This window comes from Homo sapiens, chromosome 6 (assembly GCF_000001405.40).
Source record: "Homo sapiens chromosome 6, GRCh38.p14 Primary Assembly".
In the NCBI taxonomy this organism is placed as follows: Eukaryota; Metazoa; Chordata; class Mammalia; order Primates; family Hominidae; genus Homo; species Homo sapiens.
The window spans coordinates 32240054-32265409 of NC_000006.12; the positions used below are offsets into that span (position 1 = coordinate 32240054).

Genomic DNA, 25356 nt, shown 5'->3' on the forward strand with positions numbered 1-25356 from the left:
GCCAGTAATCCCAACATTTTGGGAGGCTGAGGAGGGTGGATCACCTGAGTCAGGAGTTTGAGACCAGCCTGGGCAACATGGTGAAATCTCGTCTCTACTAAAAATACAAAATTAGCCGGGTGTGGTGGTGCATGCCTGTAATCCTAGCTAATTGGGAGGCCGAAGCAGGAGAATCACTTGAACCCAGGAGGCAGAGGTTGCGGTGAGCCGAGATTGCGCCATTGCACTCCAGCCTGGGCCATACAGTGAGACTCTGTCTCAAAAAAAAAAAAAAAAAAAAAGAAAGTGAGGAGGATGGAGGCTGTGTAATGAAATACAAGAAAGTGTGAAATAGTTGCCTTGAAATTCTGTGAGTGAGTGGCCAGGAAAATGCCGTATACTTCTTTTTCTTTTCTTTACTCTAATTCCATCACAGGTTATCTGCTGGGTGTTTCTAATGGCCAACTTGAAGTTTGTAAATGTTTGATGAGCATGGTTGAGTATTTTTATCCAACCACTTCAGCTGCTTGGATGCAGGCATGGAGTCGGTGGGAAGTTGGAGGTAGCCAGAGCTAGGCTTTTGACAGGCAGGCATGATGGAGGGAATGAGGGAAATAGGAGTTGAGATGCAAGATAGCTCTTACAACAATGCTTCATGAAACCTAAGCGGGATAAGGTTGGGAGGGCACAGGATCTCATAATGTCAGGGTCAAAGGGGTTGGAGGTCTGGAGAAGTGAAAATATTGTTTGATCTTTGGAGGTGGACACTAGAGGGAGTGATCTGCAAGGACAGGAAGGGGGATACTTAAAACTGAGATTATGGAGAGGTTTCAGGTACAGGTACAGGTAATGACAAGGTCTAGGTATGACTGTGGAGTGAGTGGCTGTGGTAGGGGGAGGACAAGATCACTGGAGGTGAGAAGGTCAAAAGGTCAAGGTGAGAGGCCAGGGTGTTGGGTGGAGTGTCTTGGTTGATAGAGAAGCCACAAAGAATGGTAGCAGGAGTGGGATGAAGAGAAAGACAGTGACCCAGGGACTGAAAATTTTAGTGAATTGTGAAGAGTGAGGAGTGACTGGAAGGCTGTTAAATGCTGGCAACAGGAGCAGCTGAGGGTGACGTTGGAGGCCACATGTACTGCAAAGCAGCTAAGGCCCTGCATTACTCTTGACCACCAGAGAAAAGTTCATGTATTCATTCATTTATTCAAGCAGTAAGTTAACCAAGCTTGACTATCTACCCTGTGCTTAGCAAAACCCTCCCTGCCCTCACAGAATGTATATGTATTCATTACAAAATTGTCCTTATAAAGTCAGGACATCTTCAGGACACTTCCAGTTAATCAGACACCCCCGTCAATCCTTCTAGTTAACTGACAGTTTTTTTGGTTGTTTGTTTAGCAGTGAATTTTAATGAATAAAACATCTGGGATTAAAACTCTTTTTTTTCCTCCATTTTTTGAGATAGGGTCTTGCTGTGTTGCCCAGGCTGGAGTGCAGTGGTGCGATCTTGGCTCACTGCAACCTCTGCCTCCCAGGTTCAAGCGATTCTCCTGCCCTAGCCTCCCAAGTAGCTGGGACTATAGGTGCACACCACCACACCTGACTAATTTTTGTATTTTTAGTAGAGATGGGGTTTTGTTATGTTGGCCAGGCTAGTCTTGAACTCCTGACCTCAAGTGATCTGCCCGCCTTGGCCTCCCAAAGTGCTGGGATTACAGGCATGAGCCACTGTGCTCAGCCATATTAAAACTCTTGTGTAATAAATTCGCAGATATGGAAATCCTTCATTTTCCACAAAAAAACCCCATCCTGTGTAGATACCAGGTGACCTCATCACAAGAGTCAAAATGAAAGTGCTGTCAGCGTGGTGAGAGAGGTGGTGATGTCAGATCACCTGTGGAAGTGAAAGGACCTTGGAGTTGAAAGGAATCTTCAGGATGGTCTTGCCTCTGGCTTTCAAACTTTTTCTTTTCATCATGTCAAATGTAGAGGAATTTTGTCCATCAAACTCATATCTAGAATCCCAAAATAGAGAAGAGATATAGGATCAGCGCTCTGGCTGAGTCTTTCCCCTCCTGAGACCCCACCCCTACCCAGAGTGACCCTTCAAGGTTGCCATGGGATGTAGGATGCTGGGGAACACAGCCTGGAACTGTTCACTTGGTCCCATTTCTTCTTTTACTGAGGCCCAGAGGGGAGACGCGACCTGCCCAAGGTGACACAGGCTTGGGACCCATGCCCAGTGTCCTGCTTGCTGGTCAGGAGTGGCTGAGGAAAGCAGAGCAGGGGTGAGGTGGGAGGAAAGGGCAGGGCCGCACTGCCTTGGTTCTGGAGCCCTCGCTGATAGCCTTGGGCCTTTTTCACTTGTTTTTCTAACTTTGGGGACAAAAGATTTTCTTTCTTTCTTTCTTTCTTTCCTTCCTTCCTTCCTTCCTTCCTTCCTTCTTTCTTTCCTTCCTTCCTTCCTTCATTCCTTCTTTCCTTCCTTCCTTCCTTCCTTCTTTCTTTCCTTCCTTCCTTCTTTCCTTCCTTCCTTCCTTCTTTCTTTCCTTCCTTCCTTCCTTCCTTCTTTCTTTCTTTCCTTCTTTCGCAACAAAGGCATGATAAGAAATTTTTTGGTGGGTAGAGCAGAAGAGTATATAATAGTGAAAAAAACACTTAGCTTAGGAGTTTGACACAGTGTGATGTTGGTCAGACTAGCTAACCTCTCTGAGCCTCACTCAGTTCCTTCATCTGTAAAGAGGTTGGGGCTGGCGTGGGTGAGTGGGTGGGTGCTGGATGAAGAGGGAAGGAGATGGACAGGAGGCACCTGGCGGACTTGGCCAGTGTCAGCTGCCGTCCTAGGAGACTCTGGGCTGGGGCGGCATTACTGGTTATCCCTTTCCTGGGGAGGTTGACAATTAACCCTGGAAACAGTCTTTAAAATTTTTACTGGACACATATAATTATGGATTGACAATCTTCCATTTTAAATTTAGAAACTACAGGCAAAAGTTAAAGATATCACAAATGAGTTTTTTATTTTTATTTTTTCATGACAAGGAAATTAGTTGTGTGCTGGGGTCTAGTATGGGGAAAGAATCTATTAAAATATATTTAAAAAGGTAAATCCAAAAATTTATAATTACAAGAGTGAATGACAAGATGATTGTCAATAAAATTAAATAAGCAAAACAACTGCTTGCCCTTTAGAAAATGTATCCAAGCTCCAGGGATCCAAAATGTTTATGAATCTGTGGATGTCTGTGTGTGTGTGTGTGCGTGTATATTTTTTTTTCGTTGTTGTTTCTCTGCCTCTCTCGCCAAACTATATGGAGCCCTGGCTAAGGATAGAGGACTGTCAGATGTGTTTTCAGGGGAATCGCTGTTTTCTTCACATCAGGGGGAAGTTCTTAGGCAGCTGAAAGCAGGGGCTCAGGTGGGCATGGGGGGGTGGGAGGGCTGAGGTTTAGGATGGGAGGGTGGGTGAGAGCTAGTAAGGGTGGGTGGGGCACTGGGGGTGGGCAGCGGGTACTTGGCTAGGGGTTCAGGACCTGTCTCAGGGCTGCTGTCCAGGGGGGTGGAGGAAGGGGTAGTGAAGGGGTCAGAGCACTCAAGATGCGCAGTGTAGGCAGGGGACAGGCTGCGGTGTGTGAAGAGGGTAGCCTGAGGTGGTGAGACTTGCTGATCACCCAGCTGGGCTGCCTTGGTCTACTCACAACTGGTCTTCCCTGTGTGTTTGGTAAACACCAAAGGAGGTAAACTCTCCAATCCTGGCCTGTGCTGATGGTGAGGCGGGAGAAGGCTTCCCTGGGTCCCAGGTCCCCAACCTGGCACAGTCATGGGTCAAGGGCTGCCTGTTCCTCACCTGCCTTCCTCACGGGGCTTCTGAGCCTAGCCTTGCTTCGGGCATTAGGAGAGTCTGCCTGGAAGGCTCTCTGGCCCCCAATGCCCTGCCCTCCAAGGCTCCCAGTCTAGGTGGGAGAGACATACAGAACAAATAGCATCGTGGGGGTGGTGGGAGGTGGTGTGAACATGTCTCCTGCAAGCTCTGGGAAGAAGCTGTGGCCACACAATGGAATGTCTCCAGCCCTGACCTCTCCTTGGAACTCAGACCTTTCTGCCTCTCTCGCCAAACTATACGGAGCACCTGGTAAGGATAGAGGACTGTCGGATGTGTTTTCAGTGGAATCACTGTTTTCTTCACATTCTTCACATCAGCCACCTCCTCCACTCCCCACCAGGATGTCAACTGAAACATGTCTCAGTCCAAATTCTTTATTCCCTGCTTCTGCAGCTATTCCCTCCCTCCCCGCAATCCTGGCACAGCGTATTGCTTAGGCTGGACTACGCTGTGAATGTGTCTCCCAAAATTCATGTGTTGGAAATTTAATTCCCATGCAACTGTTGGAAGGTGGGGCCTTTTGGGAGGGCCTTTTGGCAGGGCCTGCATGAATGGATTAATGTCATTATAAAAGGACTTGATGGAAAGAGTTCATCCCTTTTGCCCTTCCACTCCCTGCCACGTGAGGACACAGTGTTCCTCCCCTCCAGAGGATGAAGCAACAGATGCCACATTGGAAGCAGAGAACAGCCCTCACCAGGCAGTAGTGCCTTGATCTCAGGTTTTCTGGCCTCTAGAACTGTGAGAAAAGACATTTCTTTTCTTTTTTCTTTTTTTTTTTTTTTTAAGACAGAGTCTTACTCTGTTGCCCAGGCTGGAGTGTAGTGGCATGATCTTGGCTCACTGCAACCTCCGCCTTCCGGGTTCAAGCGATTTCCGGCTAATTTTTGTATTTTTAGTAGGGACGGGGTTTCACCATGTTGGCCAGGCTGGTCTCAAACTCTTGACCTCAAGTGATCCGCCCGCTTCAGCCTCCCAAAGTGCTAGGATTACAGGCATGAGCCACTGCGCCCGCCTCGTTTTGCTATTCTTCAACTTCGCATGTTTGGATTGCTACAGCTTGAGGTCTTTAGTGTCTGGTTTCCTTCGCTCCCTTCCACGGTTCTAAGATTGTTTTCTGCATCCTCCGTACCCCTCCCTCGGTGTCTTCCTGCTGGGAACTGCTCTTTCTGTCTGCCACGTGGTGGCCACAAGGGGGCAGCAGAGGCTGAGGAAAATCTGGTGAGACCAGGTTGGGGGCCTTTTCCCGGGCCCACGAGTTACTCCCCCCCGCCCACGGAGCACCTTCTGTCCGGGCGCCTCCCAGGCCGCTGCTGCTTCTTGGTTCTGCTTCCTTTTCTGAGACCCGCTGCTTTAGAGAAGATTTCTGGAGCAGAGATTTGGAGCAAGGATCTCCAAACTCTTTTGATCACACACTCCATTCAGTAATATATTTTGAACATGCAGCTAACAAACATATGCAAACATAATGCAGGTTGAAAGAACAAACGCAAATCACATTAAAAGGGCATAAGATTGAAGATTTTATAATAGTTCTAATATGTTCTCTGCCTTCTTTCCTGTCTCTCCAGATCCCTGGAGGACCCCTAGGGCTGGTGCCCCTAATCTGGTGGCCCCCTGTTTAGAGCTCAACTGAGCTTTGATGTAGACCTGGCCCCTGTTAGGGTTTGGCCACACGACCTGTGACCCTGGGCAGGTTTCCTCAGATCATCGAGGCTCTGTCTCTCAGCTGTAAAGTGAGGACAGTAAGGACCATCTCATGGTATTAAGCTAAAACATTCACGGAAATAAATATGTAATGCTCAGAGTAAGATGCCACCTAGTGAACAGTGGGCCTGAGTATTTGGTGGTGGTCATTAGAGAGCAGAGGCGCTGGCCTCAGGGTTCAGCCCACAGTTCTGCCTGTGGAGAGGAGACTCAGTGACAAGAGAGAAAAAAGTGTCCGACATCCTGGGGACTGAGAATCTGCCTCTCAGGGTTGGACAGGGCAGGGCCTCTTCTGCCTCCAGCACCCCAGGCCTCTCTCCTCTGATTCTATCAGGGACGGAGGCCAAGGTTGGAGACCCCTAGGCCTTTTCACCTAACTTGGTTTTCAGATTCCTCCCACTAGGACTTGTGTGTTTCAGCCTTAACCATGGATGGGCCTGACCTACACGGGATTGAGAGGGTCAGTAAATTCGTCCCCACCACTGACTGGGTCACCTACCTGGGCAGTACACATGCTGCTCTCGGCAACTGTTTCTTCTCCTGACACTTATGATTTTATATACAAATTGTTGGAAGTTATGTCGTAATATAGTCCTTTTGGTAAGAGTATATATGGTCAAGGATACTGTGACTGAATTTGAAGAGTAAATAATACAGCTGTGTATTGAGCTATATAATGACTAGGGCTCTCTTTATTTTGGGGACAGAGTGAGAACTTCTTCACTTATAAGGTGGCTTTGTCTTGATTGGTGAAAATAGAGAATTATTTCATTGTTGTATAAAAGTTCAGGCCGGGCACGGTGGCTCATGCCTGTAATCCCAGCACCTTGGGAGGCCAAGGCAGGCAGATCACCTGAGGTCGGGAGTTCCAGACCAGCCTGGCCAACATAGCAAAACCCCATTTCTACTAAAAATACAAAAATTAGCTGGGTGTGATGGTGGGTGCCTGTAATCCCAGCTACTTGGGAGGCTGAGGCAGGAGAATCGCTTGAACCCAGGAGGCAGAGGTTGCAGTGAGCTGAGATTGTGCCACTGCACTCTGGCCTGAGTGACAGGGCAAGACTCTGTCTCAAAAAAAAAAAAAAGTTCAAATATGTGTAATATGAAAACTGTGCAGCCAAAGGTGTGACTGGTGCTCAATATTATTTTATTGCATCTTTGTTCCAAATCCACTCCATCTTTGTCCTGCCTTGTGGTTCTGGAGCTGGACCCTATAAACATTTCTTCTTTGCCATTGGGCACAACGTTAGACTTTGACAGTAAATTGCACTGGAAGGAATACTGCAAGACATAGCAGAGAAAACAGCTTCATTCTAGTTCTGGTACTTTTTTTTGAGATGGAGTCTCACTCTGTCACTCAGGCTGGAGTGCAGTGGCGTGATCTCGGCTCACTGAAACCTCTGCCTCCCAGGTTCAAACGATTTTCCTACCTCAGCCTCCTGAGTAGCTGGGATTACAGGTGCACACCACCACACCTGGCTAATTTTGTATTTTTAGTAGAGACAGGGTTTCACCATGTTGGCCAGGCTGGTCTCGAACTCCTGACCTCAGGTGATCTGCCTGCCTTGGCCTCCCAAAGTGCTAGGATTACAGGCGGGAGCCACCGCGCCTGGCCTGCCAGGCTTTCTTAATATGCCCTACCACCATGAAACTTATATTGGGGGGGAGACTCAGATAGGGGCCAATGGGGGCAAGTTTGAGCCTTGCCAGGTTGATACTTGGGCACTGAGCAGAGTGACTAGTGTCTGTGTTTTGACATGTGTGTATAACTCCTGTTGGAATGGGAAATGTTAATTTAGTTCCCCCACACAACCTGTTGGGCTGCCTCTTGCAAAACTGGGGCCTTTTGCCTGTGGTTCCATGAAAAGAAAAGGAATGTTTTTCTTTTGTAACGTGGCTTGGCCCCCACAGCTACGGTGCAGCAAGCAGGGTCATCAAAAGCCACTCTGCTCTTCTGGAAGCAGCTGAGAAAGGGAAGCCATAAACCTGACAAGCTGGTAAAAAGCTAATTTCTTACCAGCTAGCCTCTGGCCTTTCTCTCTCTGTGCAAATGAGTTGAGTGAACAATAAAAATCACTGTTTGTCTCCTCTGCAAAGTTTTGATTAATAGGGAAGAAGATTTGTGTGACTAGTCTTAGGTTGTAGTGAATCTTGTGTACTTTTGCTACTTTGAACTATAAATATTTGTATTGTTTGGCCCCTTCTCAGAAATCACCTTTTTTGCCATCTTCCTTTGTCTTTGCCTTTTTGTGTCGTTCTGTCATGGAGAAGGATACCATAGGATAGAACACAGGCCTAGGATCCCTGTAAGCCTGCTGTTCAAGCCAGCCCTGCAGACTGGTCGGTTACAAACTTTGCTGCAGGTCCTTGGAACAAAAACTGGATGAGATTTCCCTTGTCTTGTTTTATGTGGTTGAGAGCTTGACTTTGTAACCATGTAGGGGTACTCTCTCTCTTGATCTCTGCCATCTGGAGGGTGGAAATTCTTGGGTTCAAGTCAGGTGGCTGGTCTGAGAGGACTGGGAGTCTGAGACACATTAGCATACTCTTCGTCCTGAATGTGTTGAGCCCTTAGGTGAGTTTTGTCTTAAAACGTCCCATCTCTGCTGGTTGGATTTATTAGGACAAAAAAACAGTCCTATCTCTACAGGACTTTTGTTGTATTTTGCTATCTTAAACCCATTTCCAAGAGGGAATACTTGGGGATGCCTCCTCTAGGAATACTTCTTGCTGCTTATATGGCAAAAACCTGGAAAATTACCATCTGCAATTTAAAAAAGGTGTTTGAGTCTCTATTGGAACTAAGTACACCATTGAAAGAAAAAGGATTTTAGAGATCTCTTATCTAAAACAATTGAAGGAAGGTTAAACAGTAGTGTCGTGGGTAGCCTTAAAAATTCTCTTGAGCAGTTAAAATCATTCGCAAGCTTGAAAATGACTGCTCTAGATTCTTTCTGGGAAGAGCACTGGCAACCACCCTATGCTGTAGCACAGTAGCTAAATCTCTGCCCTTTCACTATGGTGGCCTGGGATCACTTCCCAGCTTAGGGAATGCGTCCTTTCTGGTTTTGTATTTGTGGGACTTTTTGCCATTCATTGATGGACAGCTTCTGATTTCCTGTCTTGAATTTTCCTTGCTCTGAGATACCTTTGGGGTGATTCTAGATCTTGTAAAAAACTGCTTGGCATCTCTTTGGAGATACCTTGTGCATCTGTGGTTAAGTCATAACCCTAGTTAAGGCTCATTGGTTTCAGGTGGGAGGTTATCCTTGGTAGAGAGTTCAAAAGCCAGAAATATCAGCTGTTTGTTCCAGCTAAAAACTGGTAATAAGAGATCTGAAAGAATTTTCTTCAAGAGCTCTATAGTTAAAAGTCAACTTAATTAAAACTGATTTAGAATATATGTGTACAGATATTGTTTTAAAGCCTCTGCTCTCTCTCTGTAAAAACTTCTTAAGCAACTGAATTCTGTCTGCTTAAATTTTAATCTTTGTATGTAAAAGCTAGGAAACAAATATACTTTTAGAGATGGCTATTGACAGTTGTTTACAGTGAATAGTTATCACTACAGGGTGGTACTGCTTTTTTTTGCACATTTAGATAAGAAAAGCATGCTTTGGGGCACCTAGAAGGTATGGAATGAGGGCTAAGACTCCCATGGAGCATTAAGTGATTACAGAATAGGCTGATTGTTATAGGGTTGCCCACCAGCCTCAGGGGAATGTCCTTGCAGTGAAGTGCACCGTAAAAGCATTGCACTATCTTGTCCTGCGGTGTTCTCCTCTTTTGAGGACCCAGGATTCAGTGTAAAAGTTGGATCCTTAACTTTGGAAATCTGTTTTGCCTTCCAGCTGTGCCTGCTTATTAGGCCATAGAAACTGCATGCTTTCCTGGCCCTGTTCCTTAAAGGGCTCCACCCTAAAGCCAGTAATTCAATTAAGAAACTAACATCTTTAAAAAAATTTCAATGGGCAAGTGTGTCTGTTTTCCTAACCATCTTTTTTCTTTTTCTTTTTTTGAGACAGGGTCTTGCTCTATCACCCAGGCTGGAATACAGTGGTGAGAACATAGCTTACTGCAGCCTTGACCTCCTGGGCTCAAGTGATCCTCCCAGCTCAGCCTCCCCAGCAGCTGAGACCACTACGCCCAGCTAATTTTTGTATGTTTTTGTAGAGATGGGGTCTTGCCATGTTGCCCAGGCTGGTCTTGAGCTCTTGGGCTCAAGTAATCCTCCTGCCTTGACCTCTCTAAGTGCTGGGATTACAGGCATGAGCCACCACACACAGCTTCCTGGCCATCTTAACTGAACTTTTACTCATACCATTTTTCCTTGGTTTAAATAAAATATGAATTTTCTATTTCATTTCACTTAAGAATTGTGCCTTTAGAAATGCAGATTTGGAGTGGCATAGCTGACAATTATTTAGGGCAGGGAACAGGTAATCAGGAGAAGGTCCAAAATGAGGAAGAGAAACTTTAAAAACTGGCACATGAAGAATCTTACAAATCTATAAAATCTGCTTCTGTGTGTTTGTATGTCTGTGTGTTTATACATGTCATGTGTTTGTGATATTTTCACTACCAAAATATATGAAAAAGCTGTAATTAATGGCTTTTAGAAAAATAAGCACTTAAATATTTTATCAGAGAAATATATATATATACATATATATTTTTTAATACAGAGTCTCGCTCTGTTGTCAAGCTGGAGTGCAGTGGCGCAATCTCGGCTCACTGCAACCTCCACTTCCCGGGTTCAAACAATTCTCCTGTCTCAGCCTCCTGAGTAGCTGAGACTACAGGTACACGCCACCATGCCCAGCTAATTTTTGTATTTTTAGTAGGGCCAGGGTTTCACCTTGTTGGCCAGGATGGTCTTGATCTCTTGACCTCGTGATCTGCCCACCTCGGCCTTCCAAAGTGCTGGGATTATAGGTGTAAGCCACTGTGCCAGGCCGAGAAATAGAAATTTTAAGGCCTTTTAGTTCATGTGACTTCAGTGATCTTTGGTAAATAAAGATGGTTTTAAAGATTATTAATAAAATCAAATAACATCTTCAAAATGTATGCATTTGGTCTAAATTAGTCAAAGGTTTTGCAAGGCTACATCAAGGATGCAGTTATATTATTGGGCCTAAGCCATAGGGTGAAAGATATGGCCCAGGTAGAGAGTGAGAGTGAAAAGAGGTCAGAACCTTGGGGACATCATCACTTAAGGAAGAGGAGCTTCCCAGGGACAATGAGGACCACTACATGGGAGGCAGGATGCTTCAAGGCACAGAATAGTTTGAATCATAAAAGGCTTCCTACCTCCAGGAAAAGGGAAGAGCAGTGTAGTTAATATTTAGATTTACTTTGCATTGCATTTAATGGAAAATAAAGGGGAAAAAAATGTATCTTGTTAGTCCTATATCATCTGTGCTGTGGTTAGAAAGATTAAAATAATAAGTCTTTTCAAGAAGTGGGGGGATAGCCCTAATTTTGGCAGGCCATAAGACATGTAGTGTCTTCTAGAACTAGGGGAAGAATTAAGGCCAACCAGCATCAAGAAAAATAAGCACCTTGTTTACTGGGTTTAGTATCTGAGTCGTTTTGATGCTTTAGTTGGAATAGAAACCAAATTGAAAAGTGCAATCGATGGCGAGGAAGTAAAGAGTATGGACATGATTCCTCTGAAAAGCTTGGTTATAAAGAAAAGGTGCAGGCCGGGTGTGGTGGCTCACGTCTGTAATCCCAGCATTTTGGGAGGCTGAGGTGGGCGGATCAACGAGGGCAGGAGTTTGAGACCAGCCTGACCAACATGGTGAATCCCCGTCTCTACTAAAAATACAAAAAATTAGCTGGGCATGGTGGCACGTGCCTATAATTCTAGCTACTCAGTAGGCTGAGGCAGGAGAATTGCTTGATTCTGAGAGGCGGAGGTTGCGGTGAGCTTAGATCGCACCATTGCACTCCAGCCTGGGTGACAGAGCAAGACTCTGTCTCCAAAAAAAAAAAAAAAAAAAAAAGGTGAGAATAATAGGATATTTTGAAAGTTTTTTTTTTCTTTTTTGAAGATTGGAGAGTCTTGACTGCATTCATATGTGTTTGAGGGGTAAGGTATGGGCATGGGAAATAGGAAAGAGGTTGAAGATGAAGTATGGACTTCTGGGAGACAGGAGATGATGGAATCTAGAGCAGGATACTCAAAGGATGATCCGCAAATGGGTGGCACTGGCATCACCTGGAAGCTTGTTAGCAATACAAAATTGTTAGACTTCATCACAGATACAGTGAATTAGAATCTGTGGGTGTAGGGCTTTAGCAATCACCAGGTGATTTGGATACATGCTCAAGTTTGAAAATCACTTGGCTAGAGCACAGGTGAAGGGAAAAACTTTGTATGGAAGCAGGAATGCTACTTCCACTGAGATATGAGAGAAGGATGTGAGGATAGATCTCTGGGGCAATTAATAGAGTTGTGAGTTGATTAATTTAATTTTCTCTGTGTGTGTGTGTGTGTGTGAGAAATATTCAAAATAATAATGTCTTTTCAAGAGGTGGGGGGGATGGCCCTAATTGCGGCAGGCCATAAGACATGTAGTGTCTTCTAGAACTAGGGAAAGAATTAAGGCCAACAGCATCAAGAAAAATAAGAACTTTGTTTACTGGGTTTAGTACCTGAGTTATAATACAAAATTGTTAGACTTTATCCCAGATACAGTGAATTAGTATCTGTGAGAGTGGGGCTTTAGGAATGTACCAGGTGATTTTGATGCATGCTTAAGTTTGAGAATCACTTGGCTAGAGCACAGGTGAAGGGAGAAAATTTGTATGGAAAATCTGTATGGAAGCAGGAATGCCACTTCCACTGAGATATGAGATAAGAATGTAAGGTATGATCCTCTGCTGAGAATGAGGACTAGGAAGTGGTTTAAGAATATGCCTGAAGGTCTGCAAAAGCTGCCTTGGTCAATAGAAGGACATGCTTAAGTGAGCATGTTGGAGGCTCAGAGGAGCATGGAGCTGAAGAATTGGGAGTCCAACATGCAGACTTTTTAATCTTCTGACAACTGAGAGGGCAGAGTTAATTTGATCTAGTAAGCGGATGTTTGAATTGTGGGTGCAACTGAATTGACTGATCATGGTTTAGGCTAGAAAGTTTCAGGTAATGTAGTCGGTAAGGGAAGGAAGCTGACTGACTGGAAACAAAAGGGGGAAGTGCCTGAAGGTACTAGTGAGGTCAAAGAAGAAAGGCAGTGGGAACTCTAGAGCACTAGAGCTGCAAAGATATTGGGTTTTGGTTGGAGAGTGAGATGCTGATGTGTAAGGTTTCAGAAGGGACCTCTTAGTCTCATTAAAATGCAAAGAAAGTATCCAGTAACAAAGGCAGAGTTCAAAACAAGGAAGAACTTGGAAGAACAGAGACAATTCAGAAGAGACTTTAAAACACAACTATAATCAATGAGAAATAAAAGCAGGTATCACATCTATGAAAGAACAAGATACTTAAACAAGGGAAGGATTAACAAGTAAACAACTCCTGAAAACTTAAAATATGAGAGCTCAGAATAAGTATTTAATAAAGGTTTGGGAAGGTAAAGGAGAAGAAATATCCCAGCAAGTATAACAAAAACATAAAAACATAGGCAATAGGAAAAGCAAAGATGTGAAAATAGAGGATTGAGTTTATATCAGTTACTTCATTAAACTTTCCTATTATTTATAGTAATTTGTCTTTAGATTAATTTGTCTTTAGATTCTATGGTGTAATCATGTCCTCTGTAAATGTTGACAGTTTTATGTCTTCCTTTCCAATCTTTTGGTTTCTTTTTCTTATCTCATTATGTTGGTAATGACCAAAATACAATGTTGAATAAAAGTGATGATAGTAGTCTCCTTGTCTTCATAATTTTAATGAGAATGCATCCCAACTTTCTCTTTTTGGAAGATGTGTTTCAGAATAAGAAAAATAGATACCCTTTATCAGGTTAAAGAAGTTCTCTTCTATTCCTGGTTTGTTTATTTATTTATTTTATTTATTTATTTGAGATGGAGTTTTGCTCTTGTTGCCTAGGCTGGAGTGCAATGGCATGATCTCGGCTCACTGCAACGTCTGCCTGCTGGGTTCAAGAGATTCTCCTGCCTCAGCCTCCCAAGTAGCTGGGATTACGGGCAGGCATCACCATACCCAGCTAATTTTGTATTTTTAGTAGAGATGGGGGTTTCACCATGTTGGCCAGGCTGATCTTGAACTCCTGACCTCCGGTGATCAGCCCACCTCAGCCTCCCAAAGTGCTGGGATTGCAGGTGTGAGCCACTGCACCTGGCCTTATTCCTGGTTTATTAATTGTTTTTTTCTTTAAGCCAGGGATGAGCAAACTACCACCCAATGGGCCAAATACAGTCTGCAACTTGTTTTTTTTTTTTGTATAGCCCATGAGCTAAGAATGATTTTTACATTTCATGTAAAATGTCACATAATATTTTGTGACATGTGAAAATTATATGAAATTCAAATTTAAGTCTCCATAAGTAAAGCTTTATTGGAACATAGCCATGTTCTTCATTCATTTATGTATTGTCTATGACTGCTTTTGTGCTATAAAGGCAGAGGTGAGTAGTTGTGATGGAGCCCATAGGGACCTACAAAGCCAAAGTAAACATTTGGCCCTTTATAGAAAAAGTTTACTGATTCTTGTTTTAAGTCAAAAATGGTATTGGGGGAAAGTTAGGTTCATGGATGTGCAGACCAAGAATAAGGGAAAGATCTCAGCCCTAACTCCTTCTTATACAGATTTTCAATAGGTCCATCTTTTTCAGGTTTACCCTCTTACCCTAGACTTTCTTAGTTTTTAGCTTTCCATTTCTAGAGATTTAGGGCTCTGTCTAAACAGTGGTTTTCCTTCTGTGTAGCATTTCTTTGGATGCACAATAGGTTCCACTTTCATCAGCTCCGCTTTTCACCAGTTTTCCAGAAAAGCATTACAGTCTGTTGCTGTTCCCTGTTCCCCTTGTCTGCCTGATTATTTATTTTCAGAGTCATTTTAGCAGTGTTTGGGGAGGGAGTTATACCTTTTATTCCTCAGGTATCACCACTCTTCTCTTCCTACCGCGAAACAGCACAGTGAAAGGGAGGAGATGGAGTGAAGAGACCGAGGGCAGGGAGAGGGAGGGGGGTGTGACGGGGTGGGGAAGTGAGGAGGAAGAGGGGGAAGAGCTACTGGGGAGGAGGAAGATGGGGGAGGAAGAGGATGATGGGGTGGGGTGGTTCAGGGAGTGAATAGGCCGGGTTGGGTGAGATGAGGCTGGGTGTATGTGCTTGAGAAGTCCGGGAGTGCGGAGGGGCAGAAAGGTAGACAGTGCGTGCGGGAAGAGGGGATGGGGGTGGGGAGGCGAGGGCGGTCAGTGGGTTGAGAGGAGTGGGGAGAAGATTTAGGGCGAGAGAGGTGCCATCGTGCTGGGGAAGGCGGGACTAGGAGAGGTAAAAGAATGGGGAGAGAAATGGGAGGGAGAGAAGGAAGCTGAGGGAGATTTGAGGAGAGAAGGCGCTTGAGGGGGAACCAGGAGGGGAGAAGGCTTGTGAGGGGGAAATGTGAGAGGAGAAGGGGCGCGAGGGGGAACAGCGAGGGGAGAAGGGGTCCCGCCTCCTGGCCGCGCCGCCCTAGGTGTCGCCGCCTGGCGGTTACGAGGAGGCCGCCTCCTGCTTGCCGGCCTGGCGGTCCTACTCAACACCGCAAGATTTCAAAAGGGAAATTCCTCCAGGGCTGAGTCACAGGGAAGAAAGCGATTTCCTCCGCCTCTTCCAAAGCGGTAGGTTTCCTTCCTCCGCCTGCCTCTTAAATAACGTGGTATCTCGCAGTTTGGCTGAAACCTGAATTAAATGCAATGCTTTTTTGACTTTTACTTTCTCCCAGAACAACAGTTGTGATATGATCTGTTTTGGGGCCCTTCCTGCGCTCCGCCCTGGGCCAGAGTATGTAAAGCTCGTGGGTCTCTGTGTGTGTCTGAGCAGCTGCTCTGCCAAGACTCCACACAGCTGTGTGTGTGTCGGACCCAAGGCCTTGGTGGCATGGGCTCATGAGGGAATCTCCTGATCCACCAGTCGCAAAGATCCATGGGAGAAGCATGGTTTCCTGAGGTCGCACCATCACTCACTTCTTCCCTTGGCTGGGAGTGGGGGTTCCTTTGGCTCTGTGTCGCTCCCAGGGGGGCTGTCGCCCCATCCAGCTTTTCTTTGTTCTCTGTGGGTCGAGTTGTTTTCCTGATGAGTCCCAATGCAAGTACCTGGATATTTCAGTTGAAGATGCTGTATTCACTTGCCTCTTTTGTTCCTCTCTGTGAGTGCTGTGGACCATAGCTGTTTCTAATCAGCCATCTTGGCCTGGCAATCTACAGTAGTAAATGTTAACATTGGATAGTGTGATTCTTCCTACTTTACTATTCTTTTTAAATATTGTTTTAGCAATTTTTGTTCTTTTGACTTTACATATAGATTTTAGGACCAGTTTGTCTATATCTACAAAAGGAAGCTTTTGATAGGAAATGTGTTAAACCTATAGACCGATTTGAAGAGAATTGACATCTTTGTTGTCTTCCAGTTAAATGACACTGCATGTCTCTCCGTTTGTTTAGATCTATTTTTATTTTTTCATCAGCATTTTGTAGTTTTCAGCCTGCTGATTCTGTACATATTTTGTTAGATTTATACTTAAATATTTAATTTTCTTTGGAGTGGTTGTAAATAGTACTGTGCTTCAGTTTTGGCTTCCTACTTTTTATTGCTAGCATAGAGGAATACAATTGATTACTATTCTGTAACATTGCTAAAAATGTGTTTGAAGTTTCCTCGGAGTATTATCTCTGGATATAAGCTTCTGGGCTGATAGGTCTTATTTTTTAGCAGTTGAAAAATGTTGTGCTACTTTCTTCCTGTTTTGGGTTTTTTGGTGAGAAATCCACTGTAATTCTAATTGTTGTTCTCCTATAAATAATGCTTTTTCTTTCAGCATGTTTTCAAGATTTTTTTAAGTTTTCAGAAATTTGATTATGATGTATCTGAGCATAGATTTCTTTGAGTTTATTATATTAGAAGTTGCTTTAGCTTTTTGAATTACACATTTATGTCTTTCATTAAGTTTGAGAAGTCTTCAATCATTATTTTGTTAAAAAGTTTTTTCAGACCAGCCTGGGCAACATGACAAAACACTGTCTCTACAAAAAAAATAAAAAAAATTAGCTGGTCATGGTGGCATGTGTCAGTGGTCCCAGCTACTCGGGAGGCTAAGGCAGGAGGATCACCTAAGCCTGGGAGTTTGAGGCTGCAGTGAGCTGTGATCATGCCACCGCACTCCAGCCTGTGTAACAGAGTGAGAGCCTGTCTCAATTTTTTTTTTTTTTAGCACCCTATGCCGTCTCCTTCTGTAATTCCAGTCACAGGAATGTTAGAGACTTTGTTATTGTCCCACAGATACTTGTTGCTCTGTTCGTTTTTTCTTTTCTTTCTTTCTTTTTTTTTTTTATTATACTTTAAGTTCTGGGTTACATGTGCAGAATGTACATTTTTCTTACATAGGTATACATGTGCCCTGGTGGTTTGTTGCACCCATCAACCTGTCACCTATATTAGGTATTTCTCCTAATGTTATCCCTCCCCTAACTCCCCACTCTCTGACAGGCCCCGGTGTGTGATGTTCCCCTCCCTGTGTCCGTATGTTCTCATTGTTCAACTCCCACTTATAAGCAAGAACATGCGGTGTTTGGTTTTCTGATCTTGTGATAGTTTGCTGAAAATGATGGTTTCCAGCTTTATCCATGTTCCTGCAAAGGACACAAACTCATCCTTTTTTATGGCTGCATAGTATTCCATGATATATACGTGCCACATTTTCTAAATCCAGTCTATCATTGATGGACATTTGGGTTGGTTCCAAGTCTTTGCTACTGTGAATAGTGCCACAATAAACATGTGTGCATGTGTCTTTACTATAGAATGATTTATAATCATTTGGGTATATGCCCAGTATTGGGATTGCTGGGTCAAATGGTATTTCCAGTTCTAGATCCTTGAGGAATCGCCACACTGTCTTCCACAGTGGTTGAACTAATTTACACTCCCACCAACAGTGTAAAAGCATTCCTATTTTTCCACAACCTCTCCAGCACCTGTTGTTTCCTGACTTTTTAATGATCGCCATTCTAACTGGTGTGAGATGGAATCTCATTGTGGTTTTGATTTGCATTTCTCTGGTGACCAGTGATGATGAGCATTTTTTTCATATGTCTGTTGGCTGCATAAATGTCTTCTTTTGAGAAGTGTCTGTTCATATCCTTTGCCCACTTTTTGATGGGTTTTTTCTTGTAAATTTAAGTTCTTTGTAGATTCTGGATATTAGCCCTTTGTCACATGGATAGACTGCAAAAATTTTCTCCCATTCTGTAGGTTGCCTGTTCACTCTGATGATACTTTCTTTTGCTGTGCAGAAGCTCTTTAGTTTAATTAGATCCCGTTTGTCAATTTTGGCTTTTGTTGCCATTGCTTTTAGTGTTTTGGACATGAAGTCTTTGCCCATGCCTCTGTCCTGAATGGTATTGCCCAGATTTTCTTCTAGGAGTTTTATGGTCCTAAGTCTTATGTTGAAGTTTTTGATCCATTTTGAGTTGATTTTTGTAAAAGGTGTAAGGAAGGGGCCCAGTTTCAGTTTTCTGCATATGGCTAGCCAGTTTTCCCAACACCATTTACTAAATTGGGAATCTTTTCCCCATTGCTTGTGTGTGTCAGGTTTGTCAAAGATCAGATGGTTGTAGCTGTGTGGTGTTATTTCTGACGCCTCCGTTCTGTTCCATTGGTCTATATATCTGTTTTGGTACCAGTACTATGCTGTTTTGGGTACTGTAGTCTTGTAGTATAGTTTGAAATCAGGTAGCATGATACCTCTAGCTTTGTTCTTCTTGCCCAGGATTGTCTTGGCTACGCAGGCTCTTTTTTGGTTCCATATGAAGTTTAAAGTAGTTTTTTTCCAATTCTGTGAAGAAAGTCAGTGGTAGCTTCATGGGAATAGCATTGAATTTATAAATTACTTTGGGCTGTGTAGCCATTTTCATGATATTGATTCTTCCTATCCATGAACATGGAATGTTTTTCCATTTGTTTGTGTCCTCTCTTATTTCCTTGAGCAGTGGTTTGTAGTTCTACTTGAAGAGGTCCTTCACATCCCTTGTAAGTTGTATTCCTAGGTATTTTATTCTCTTAGTAGCAATTGTGAATGGGAGTTCACTCATGATTTGGCTCTCTGTCTATTATTGGTGTACAGGAATGCTTGTGATTTTTGCACATTGATTTTGTATCCTGAGACTTTGCTGAAGTTGCTTATCAGCTTAAGGAGGTTTTGGGCTGAGACGATGGGGTTTTCTAAATATACAATCATGTCTTCTGCAAACAGAGAAAATTTGATTTCCTCTCTTCCTATTTGAATACTCTTTATTGCTTTCTCTTGCCTGATTGCCCTGGCCAGAACTTCCAATACTATGTTGAATAGGAGTGGTGAGAGAGGGCATCTTTGTCTTGTGCCGGTTTTCAAAGGGAATGCTTCCAGTTTTTGCCCATTCAGTATGATATTGGCTGTGGGTTTGTCATAAATAGCTCTTGTTATTTTGAGATATGTTCCGTCGATACCTAGTTTATTGAGAGTTTTTGGCATGAAGGGGTGTTGAATTTTATCAAAGGCCTTTTCCGTATCTATTGAGATAATCATGTGGTTTTTGTTATTGGTTCTGTTTATGTGATGGATTACATTTATTGATTTGCGTATGTTGAACCAGCCTCGCATCCCAGGGATGAAGCCAACTTGATCGTGGTAGATAAGCTTTTTTATGTGCTGCTGCATTCGGTTTGCCAGTATTTTATTGAGGATTTTCACATTGATGTTCATCAGGGATATTGGCCTGAAATTTTCCTTTTTTGTTGTGTCTCTGCCAGGTTTTGGTATCAGGATGATGCTGGCCTCATAAAATGAGTTAGGGAGGAGTCCCTATTTTTCTATTGTTTGGAATAGTTTCAGAAGGTATGGTACCAGTTCCTCTTTGTACCTCTGGTAGAATTCGCCTGTGAATCCATCTGCTCCTGGGGTTTTTTTTGGGGTAGTAGGCTATTAATTACTGCCTCAATTTCAGAAATTGTTATTGCTTTATTCAGGGATTCGACTTCTTCCTGGCTTAGACTTGGGAGGGTGTATGTGTCCAGGAATTTATCCATTTCTTCTAGATTTTCTAGTTTATTTGCATAGAGGTGTTTATAGTATTCTCTGATGGTAGTTTGTATTTGTATGGGATCAGTGGTGATATCCCCTATATCATTTTTTATTGCATCTATTTGATTCTTCTCTCTTTTCTTCTTTATTAGTCTGGCTAGTGGTCTATTTTGTTGATTTTTTCAAAAAATCAGCTCCTGGATTCATTGATATTTTTGAAGGGTTTTTTGTGTCTCTATCTCCTTCAGTTCTGCTCTGATCTTAGTTATTTCATGTCTTCTGCTAGCTTTTGAATTTATTTGCTGTTGCTTCTCTAGTTCTTTTAATTTCGATGTTAGGGCATCAATTTTAGAACTTTCCTGATTTCTCTTGTGGGCATTTAGTGCTATAAATTTCCCTCTAAACACCGCTTTAAATGTGTCCCAGAGATTCTGGTACATTGTGTCTTCATTTTCATTGGTTTCAAAGAACATTTTTAGTTCTGCCTTCATTTCATTATTTACCCAGTAGTCATTCAGGAACAGGTTGTTCAGTTTCCATTTATTTGTGCAGTTTTGAGTGAGTTTCTTAATCCTGAATTCTAATTTGGTTGCACTGTGGTCTGAGAGACTGTTTGTTATGGTTTCCATTATTTCGCATTTGCTGAGGAGTGTTTTACTTCTGATTATGTGGTCAATTTTAGAATAAGTGCAATGAGGTGCTGAGAAGAATGTATAGTCTGTTGATTTGAGGTGGGGAGTTCTGTAGATGTCTGTTAGGTCTGCTTGGTCCAGAGCTGAGTTCAAGTCCTGAATATCTTTATTTTCTGTCTCATTGATCTGTCTAATATTGACAGTGGGGTGTTAAAGTCTCCCACTATTATTGTTTGGGAGTCTGGGTCTCTAAGAACTTGCTTTATGAATCTGGGTGCTCCTGTATTGGGTGCATATATATTTAGGATAGTTAGCTCTTCTTGCTGCATTGTTCCCTTTACCATTATGTAATGCCCTTCTTTGTCTCTTTTGATTTTTATTGATTTAAAGTCTGTTTTATCAGAGATTAGGATTGCAACTCCTGCTTTTTTTTGCTTTCCATTTGCTTGGTAAATATTCCCCCATCCCTTTATTTTGAGCCTATGTTTGTCTTTGCACATGAGATGGGTCTTCTGAATACAGCATACTGATGGGTCTTGACTCTTTATCCAATTTGCCAGTCTGTGTCTTTTAATTGGGGCATTTAGCCCATTTACATTAAGGTTAATATTGTTATGTGTGAATTTGATCCTGTCATTATGATGCTAGCTGGTTGTTTTGCCCATTAGTTAATGCAGTTTCTTCATTGTGTCAATGTTCTTTACAATTTGGTATGTTTTTGCAGTGGCTGGTACCAGTTGTTCCTTTCCATGTTTAGTGCTTCCCTCTGGAGCTCTCGTAAGGCAGGTCTGGTGGTGACAAAATCCCTCAGCATTTGCTTGTCTGTAAAGGATTTTATTTCTCCTTCCCTTATGAAGCTTAGTGTGGCTGGATATGAAATTCTGGGTTGAAAATTCTTTTCTTTCAGAACGTTGGATATTGGCCCCCACTCTCTTCTGTCTTATAGGGTTTCTGCAGAGAGTTCGGCTGATAGTCTGATGAGCTTCCCTTTGTGGGTAACCCGACCTTTCTCTCTGGCTGCCCTTAACATTTTCTCTTTCATTTCAACCTTGGTGAATCCGATGATTATGTGTCTTGGGGTTGCTCGTCTTGAGGATTATCTTTGTGGTGTTCTCTGTATTTCCTGAATTTGAATGTTGGCCTGTGTTGCTAAGTTGGAGAAGTTCTCCTGGATAATATCCTGAAGAGTGTTTTCCAACTTGATTCCATTCTCCCCGTCACTTTGAGGTACACCAATCAAACGTAGATTTGGTCTTTTCACATAGTCCCATGTTTCTTTTTTTTTTTTTGAGATGGAGTCTCGCTCTGTCACTGAGGTTGGAGTGCAGTGGTGTGATCTCGGCTCACTGCAAGCTCCACCTTCTGGGTTCACGCCATTCTCCTGCCTCAGCCTCCCAAATAGCTGGGACTACAGGCGCCCACCCCCACGCCCAGCTAATTTTTTGTATTTTTAGTAGAGACGGGGTTTCACCATGTTAGCCAGGATGGTCTCGATCTCCTGACCTCGTGATCCACCCACCTCAGCCTCCCAAAGTGCTGGGATTACAGGTGTGACCCACCGCGCCCCGGCAAGTCCCATATTTCTTGGAGGCTTTGTTCGTTCCTTTTTATTCTTTTTTATCTAATCTTGTCTTCTCTCTTTATTTCATTAAGTTGATCATTAAGTTGATCTTCAATCACTGCTTCATCAGTTTGGCTATTGATACTTGTGTATTCTTCATGAAGTTTTTGTGCTTTGTTTTTCAGCTCCATTAGGTCATTTATGTTCTTCTCTACATTGGTTATTCTAGTTAATTCGATTAACCTTTTTTTAAGGTTTTTAGCTTCTTTGCATTGGCTTAGAACATGCTTCTTGAGCTTGTAGTTTTTTGTTATTACCCACCTTCTGAAGCCTACTTCTGTCAGTTCATCAAACTCATTCTCTGTCCAGTTTTGTTCCCTTGCTGGCGAAGAGTTGTGATCATTTGGAGGAGGAGAGGCATTCTGGTTTTTGGAATTTTCAACCTTTTCATGCTACTTTTTTCCCATCTTTGTGGATTTATCTACCTTTGGTCTTTGATGTTGGTGACCTTCGGATGGGGTCTTTGAGTGGACATGCTAATCCTTTCTGTTTCTTTTCCTTCTAACAGGCCCCTTTGGTGCCAGTCTGCTGGAGTTTGCTGGAGGTCCACTCCTGACCCTGTTTGCCTGGGTATCACCAGCAGAGGCTGCAAAGCAGCAAAGATTGCTGCCTGTTCTTTCTTCTAGAAGCTTCGACCCAGTGGGGCACCTGTCAGATGCCAGCCAGAGCTCTCCTGTATCAGGTGTCTGTCGGTCCAAGCTAGAAGGTATCTCCCAGTCAGTATACATGGGGATCAGGGACCCACTTGAGGAGGCAGACTGACCCTTAGCAGAGCTTCAATACCGTGCTGGGAGGTCCACTGCTCTCTTCAGAGCCATCAGGCAGGGACGTTTAAGTCTGCTATAAGCCCCCGACTGGGGTTGCTGCCTTTTTTACAGAGATGCCCTGTCCAGAGAGGAGCAATCTGGCAGTCTGGCCACAGCAGCCTTGCTGAGCTGCAGTGAGCTCTGCCCAGTTTGAACTTCCCAGCAGCTTTGTTTATACTGTGGCCATAAAACCATCTACTCAAGCCTCAGCAATGGTGGACGTCTCTTCCACCACCAAGCTCAATCATCCCAGGTGAATCTCAGATTGCTGCTGTGCTGGCAGCAAGAATTTCAAGCCAGTGGATCTTAGTTTCCTGGGCTCCATGGGCGTGGGACCAGCCAAGCCAGACCACTTGGCTCCCTGGCTTCAGCCCCTCTTTCCAGGGGAGTGAACGGTTCTGTCTCGCTGGTGTTCCAGGCGCCACTGGGGTATGGAAAAAAGAAAAAAAGCTCCTACAGCTAGTTCAGTGTCTGCCCAATTGGCCACCCAGTTTTGTGCTTGAAACCCAGGGCCCTGGTGGGGTAGTCACTGGAGGGAATCTCCTGGTTTGTGGGTTTCGAAGACTGTGGGACAAGTGCAGTATCTGTGCTGGAGTTCCTCAGGCTCAGACCCTCATGGCTTCCCTTGGGTAGAGGGGAAAATTCCCCGACCCCTTGCACTTCCCAGGTGAGGTGATGCCCCACCCTGCTTCGGCTTGCCCTCCGTGGGCTGCACCCACTGTCCAACCAGTCCCAGTGAGATGAACCGTGTGCCTCAGTTGGAAATGCAGAAATCACCCACCTTCTGCCTCGATCTCGCTGGGAGCTGCAGACTGGTGCTGTTCCTATTCGGCCATCTTGAATCTTGCCTGTTCATTTTTAATTTTTTCTTTCAGTGTATTTTCCTCTCAGTTCAGGCTGGAAAATTTCAATTGCTCTATCTTTGAGTTCACTGATTGTTTCTTTTGTCATATTCATTCTGTTATTGAATCCATCCAGTGAGTTTTCATTTTGGTTATTTTATTTTCCAGCTATAAAATTTCCATTTGCTTCTTTCTTTCTTTTTTTTTTTAGAAATGTTCATCTTTTTATTTTAAGTTCCGGGGTACATATACAGGATGTGCAGGTTTGTTACATAGGTAAACATGTGCCATGGGTAGTGTTCATCTATAGCTCTATCAATGCTTCTTGTCTTTAAGTCTACCTTGTTTGAGAGCTATGTCAGCATTCTTTTTTTTTTTTAATTATACTTTAAGTTCTAGGATATATATGCACAATGTGCAGGTTAGTTACATGTCTATACATGTGCCATGTTGGTGTGCTGCACCCATTAACTCGTCATTTAACATTAGGTATATCTCCTAATGCTATCCCTCCCCCCTCCGCCAACCCCACAACAGGCCCTGGTGTGTGATGTTCCCTTTCCTGTGTCCATGTGTTCTCATTGTTCAATTCCCATCTATGAGTGAGAACATGTGGTGTTTGGTTTTTTGTCCTTGCGATAGTTTGCTGAGAATGATGGTTTCCAGCTTCATCCATGTCCCTACAAAGGACATGAACTCATCATTTTTTATGGCTGCATAGTATTCCATGGTGTATATGTGCCACATTTTCTTAATCCAGTCTATCATTGTTGGACATTTGGGTTGGTTCCAAGTCTTTGCTATTGTGAATAGTGCCACAATAAACATATGTGTGCATGTGTCTTTATAGCAGCACGTTTTATAATCCTTTGGGTATATACCCAGTAATGGGATGGCTGGGTCAAATGGTATTTCTAGTTCTAGATCCCTGAGGAATCGCCACACTGACTTCCACAATGGTTGAGCTAGTTTACAGTCCCACCAACAGTGTAAAAGTGTTCCTATTTCTCCACATCCTCTCCAGCACCTGTTGTTTCCTGACTTTTTAATGATTGCCATTCTAACTAGTGTGAGATGGAATCTCATTGTGGTTTTGATTTGCATTTCTCCGATGGCCAGTGATCATGAGCATTTTTTCATGTGTCTTTTGGCTGTGTAAATGTCTTCTTTTGAGAAGTGTCTGTTCATATCCTTCGCCCACTTGTTGATGGGGTTGTTTGTTTTTTTCTTGTAAATTTGTTTGAGTTCATTGTAGATTCTGGATATTAGCCCTTTGTCAGATGAGTAGATGCAAAAATTTTCTCCCATTCTGTAGGTTGCCTGTTCACTCTGATGGTAGTTTCTTTTGCTGTGCAGAAGCTCTTTAGTTTAATTAGATCCCATTTGTCAATTTTGGCATTTGTTGCCATTGCTTTTGGTGTTTTAGACATGAAGTCCTTGCCCATGCCTATGTCCTGAATGGTGTTGCCTAGGTTTTCTTCTAGGGTTTTTATGGTTTTAGGTCTAACATTTAAGAGGATACAAACAAATGGAAGAACATTCCATGCTCATGGGTAGGAAGAATCAATATCGTGAAAATGGCCATACTGCCCAAGGTAATTTATAGATTCAATGCCATCCCCATCAAGCTACCAATGACTTTCTTCACAGAATTGGAA

The 25356-nt window shown here is 43.4% G+C and overlaps 1 long non-coding RNA gene across 3 annotated transcripts in view, besides 2 other annotated features; it reads left to right on the forward strand.

Moving 5' to 3' along the window:
- Positions 14959-15616: an enhancer, noted in NCBI's record as "H3K27ac-H3K4me1 hESC enhancer chr6:32222789-32223446 (GRCh37/hg19 assembly coordinates)". NCBI's record gives its function as "activates a minimal SCP1, AML or CMV promoter by ChIP-STARR-seq in primed H9 embryonic stem cells {active_cell/tissue: H9 hESC(primed)}" and the evidence as "EXISTENCE:reporter gene assay evidence [ECO:0000049][PMID:30033119]".
- The window catches only part of TSBP1-AS1 (TSBP1 and BTNL2 antisense RNA 1), a 152558-nt gene continuing 142321 nt past the window's right edge, over positions 15120-25356 (forward strand). For 2 of the 3 annotated variants that reach the window (NR_136245.1, NR_136246.1), the window contains exon 1: positions 15120-15361. This is a non-coding gene — a long non-coding RNA (TSBP1 and BTNL2 antisense RNA 1). Of the gene's footprint in view, positions 15362-22558; positions 22757-25356 lie in introns of all 3 variants that reach the window. The other variant, NR_136244.1, reaches the window with a different exon arrangement.
- Positions 15617-16273: an enhancer, noted in NCBI's record as "H3K27ac-H3K4me1 hESC enhancer chr6:32223447-32224103 (GRCh37/hg19 assembly coordinates)". NCBI's record gives its function as "activates a minimal SCP1, AML or CMV promoter by ChIP-STARR-seq in primed H9 embryonic stem cells {active_cell/tissue: H9 hESC(primed)}" and the evidence as "EXISTENCE:reporter gene assay evidence [ECO:0000049][PMID:30033119]".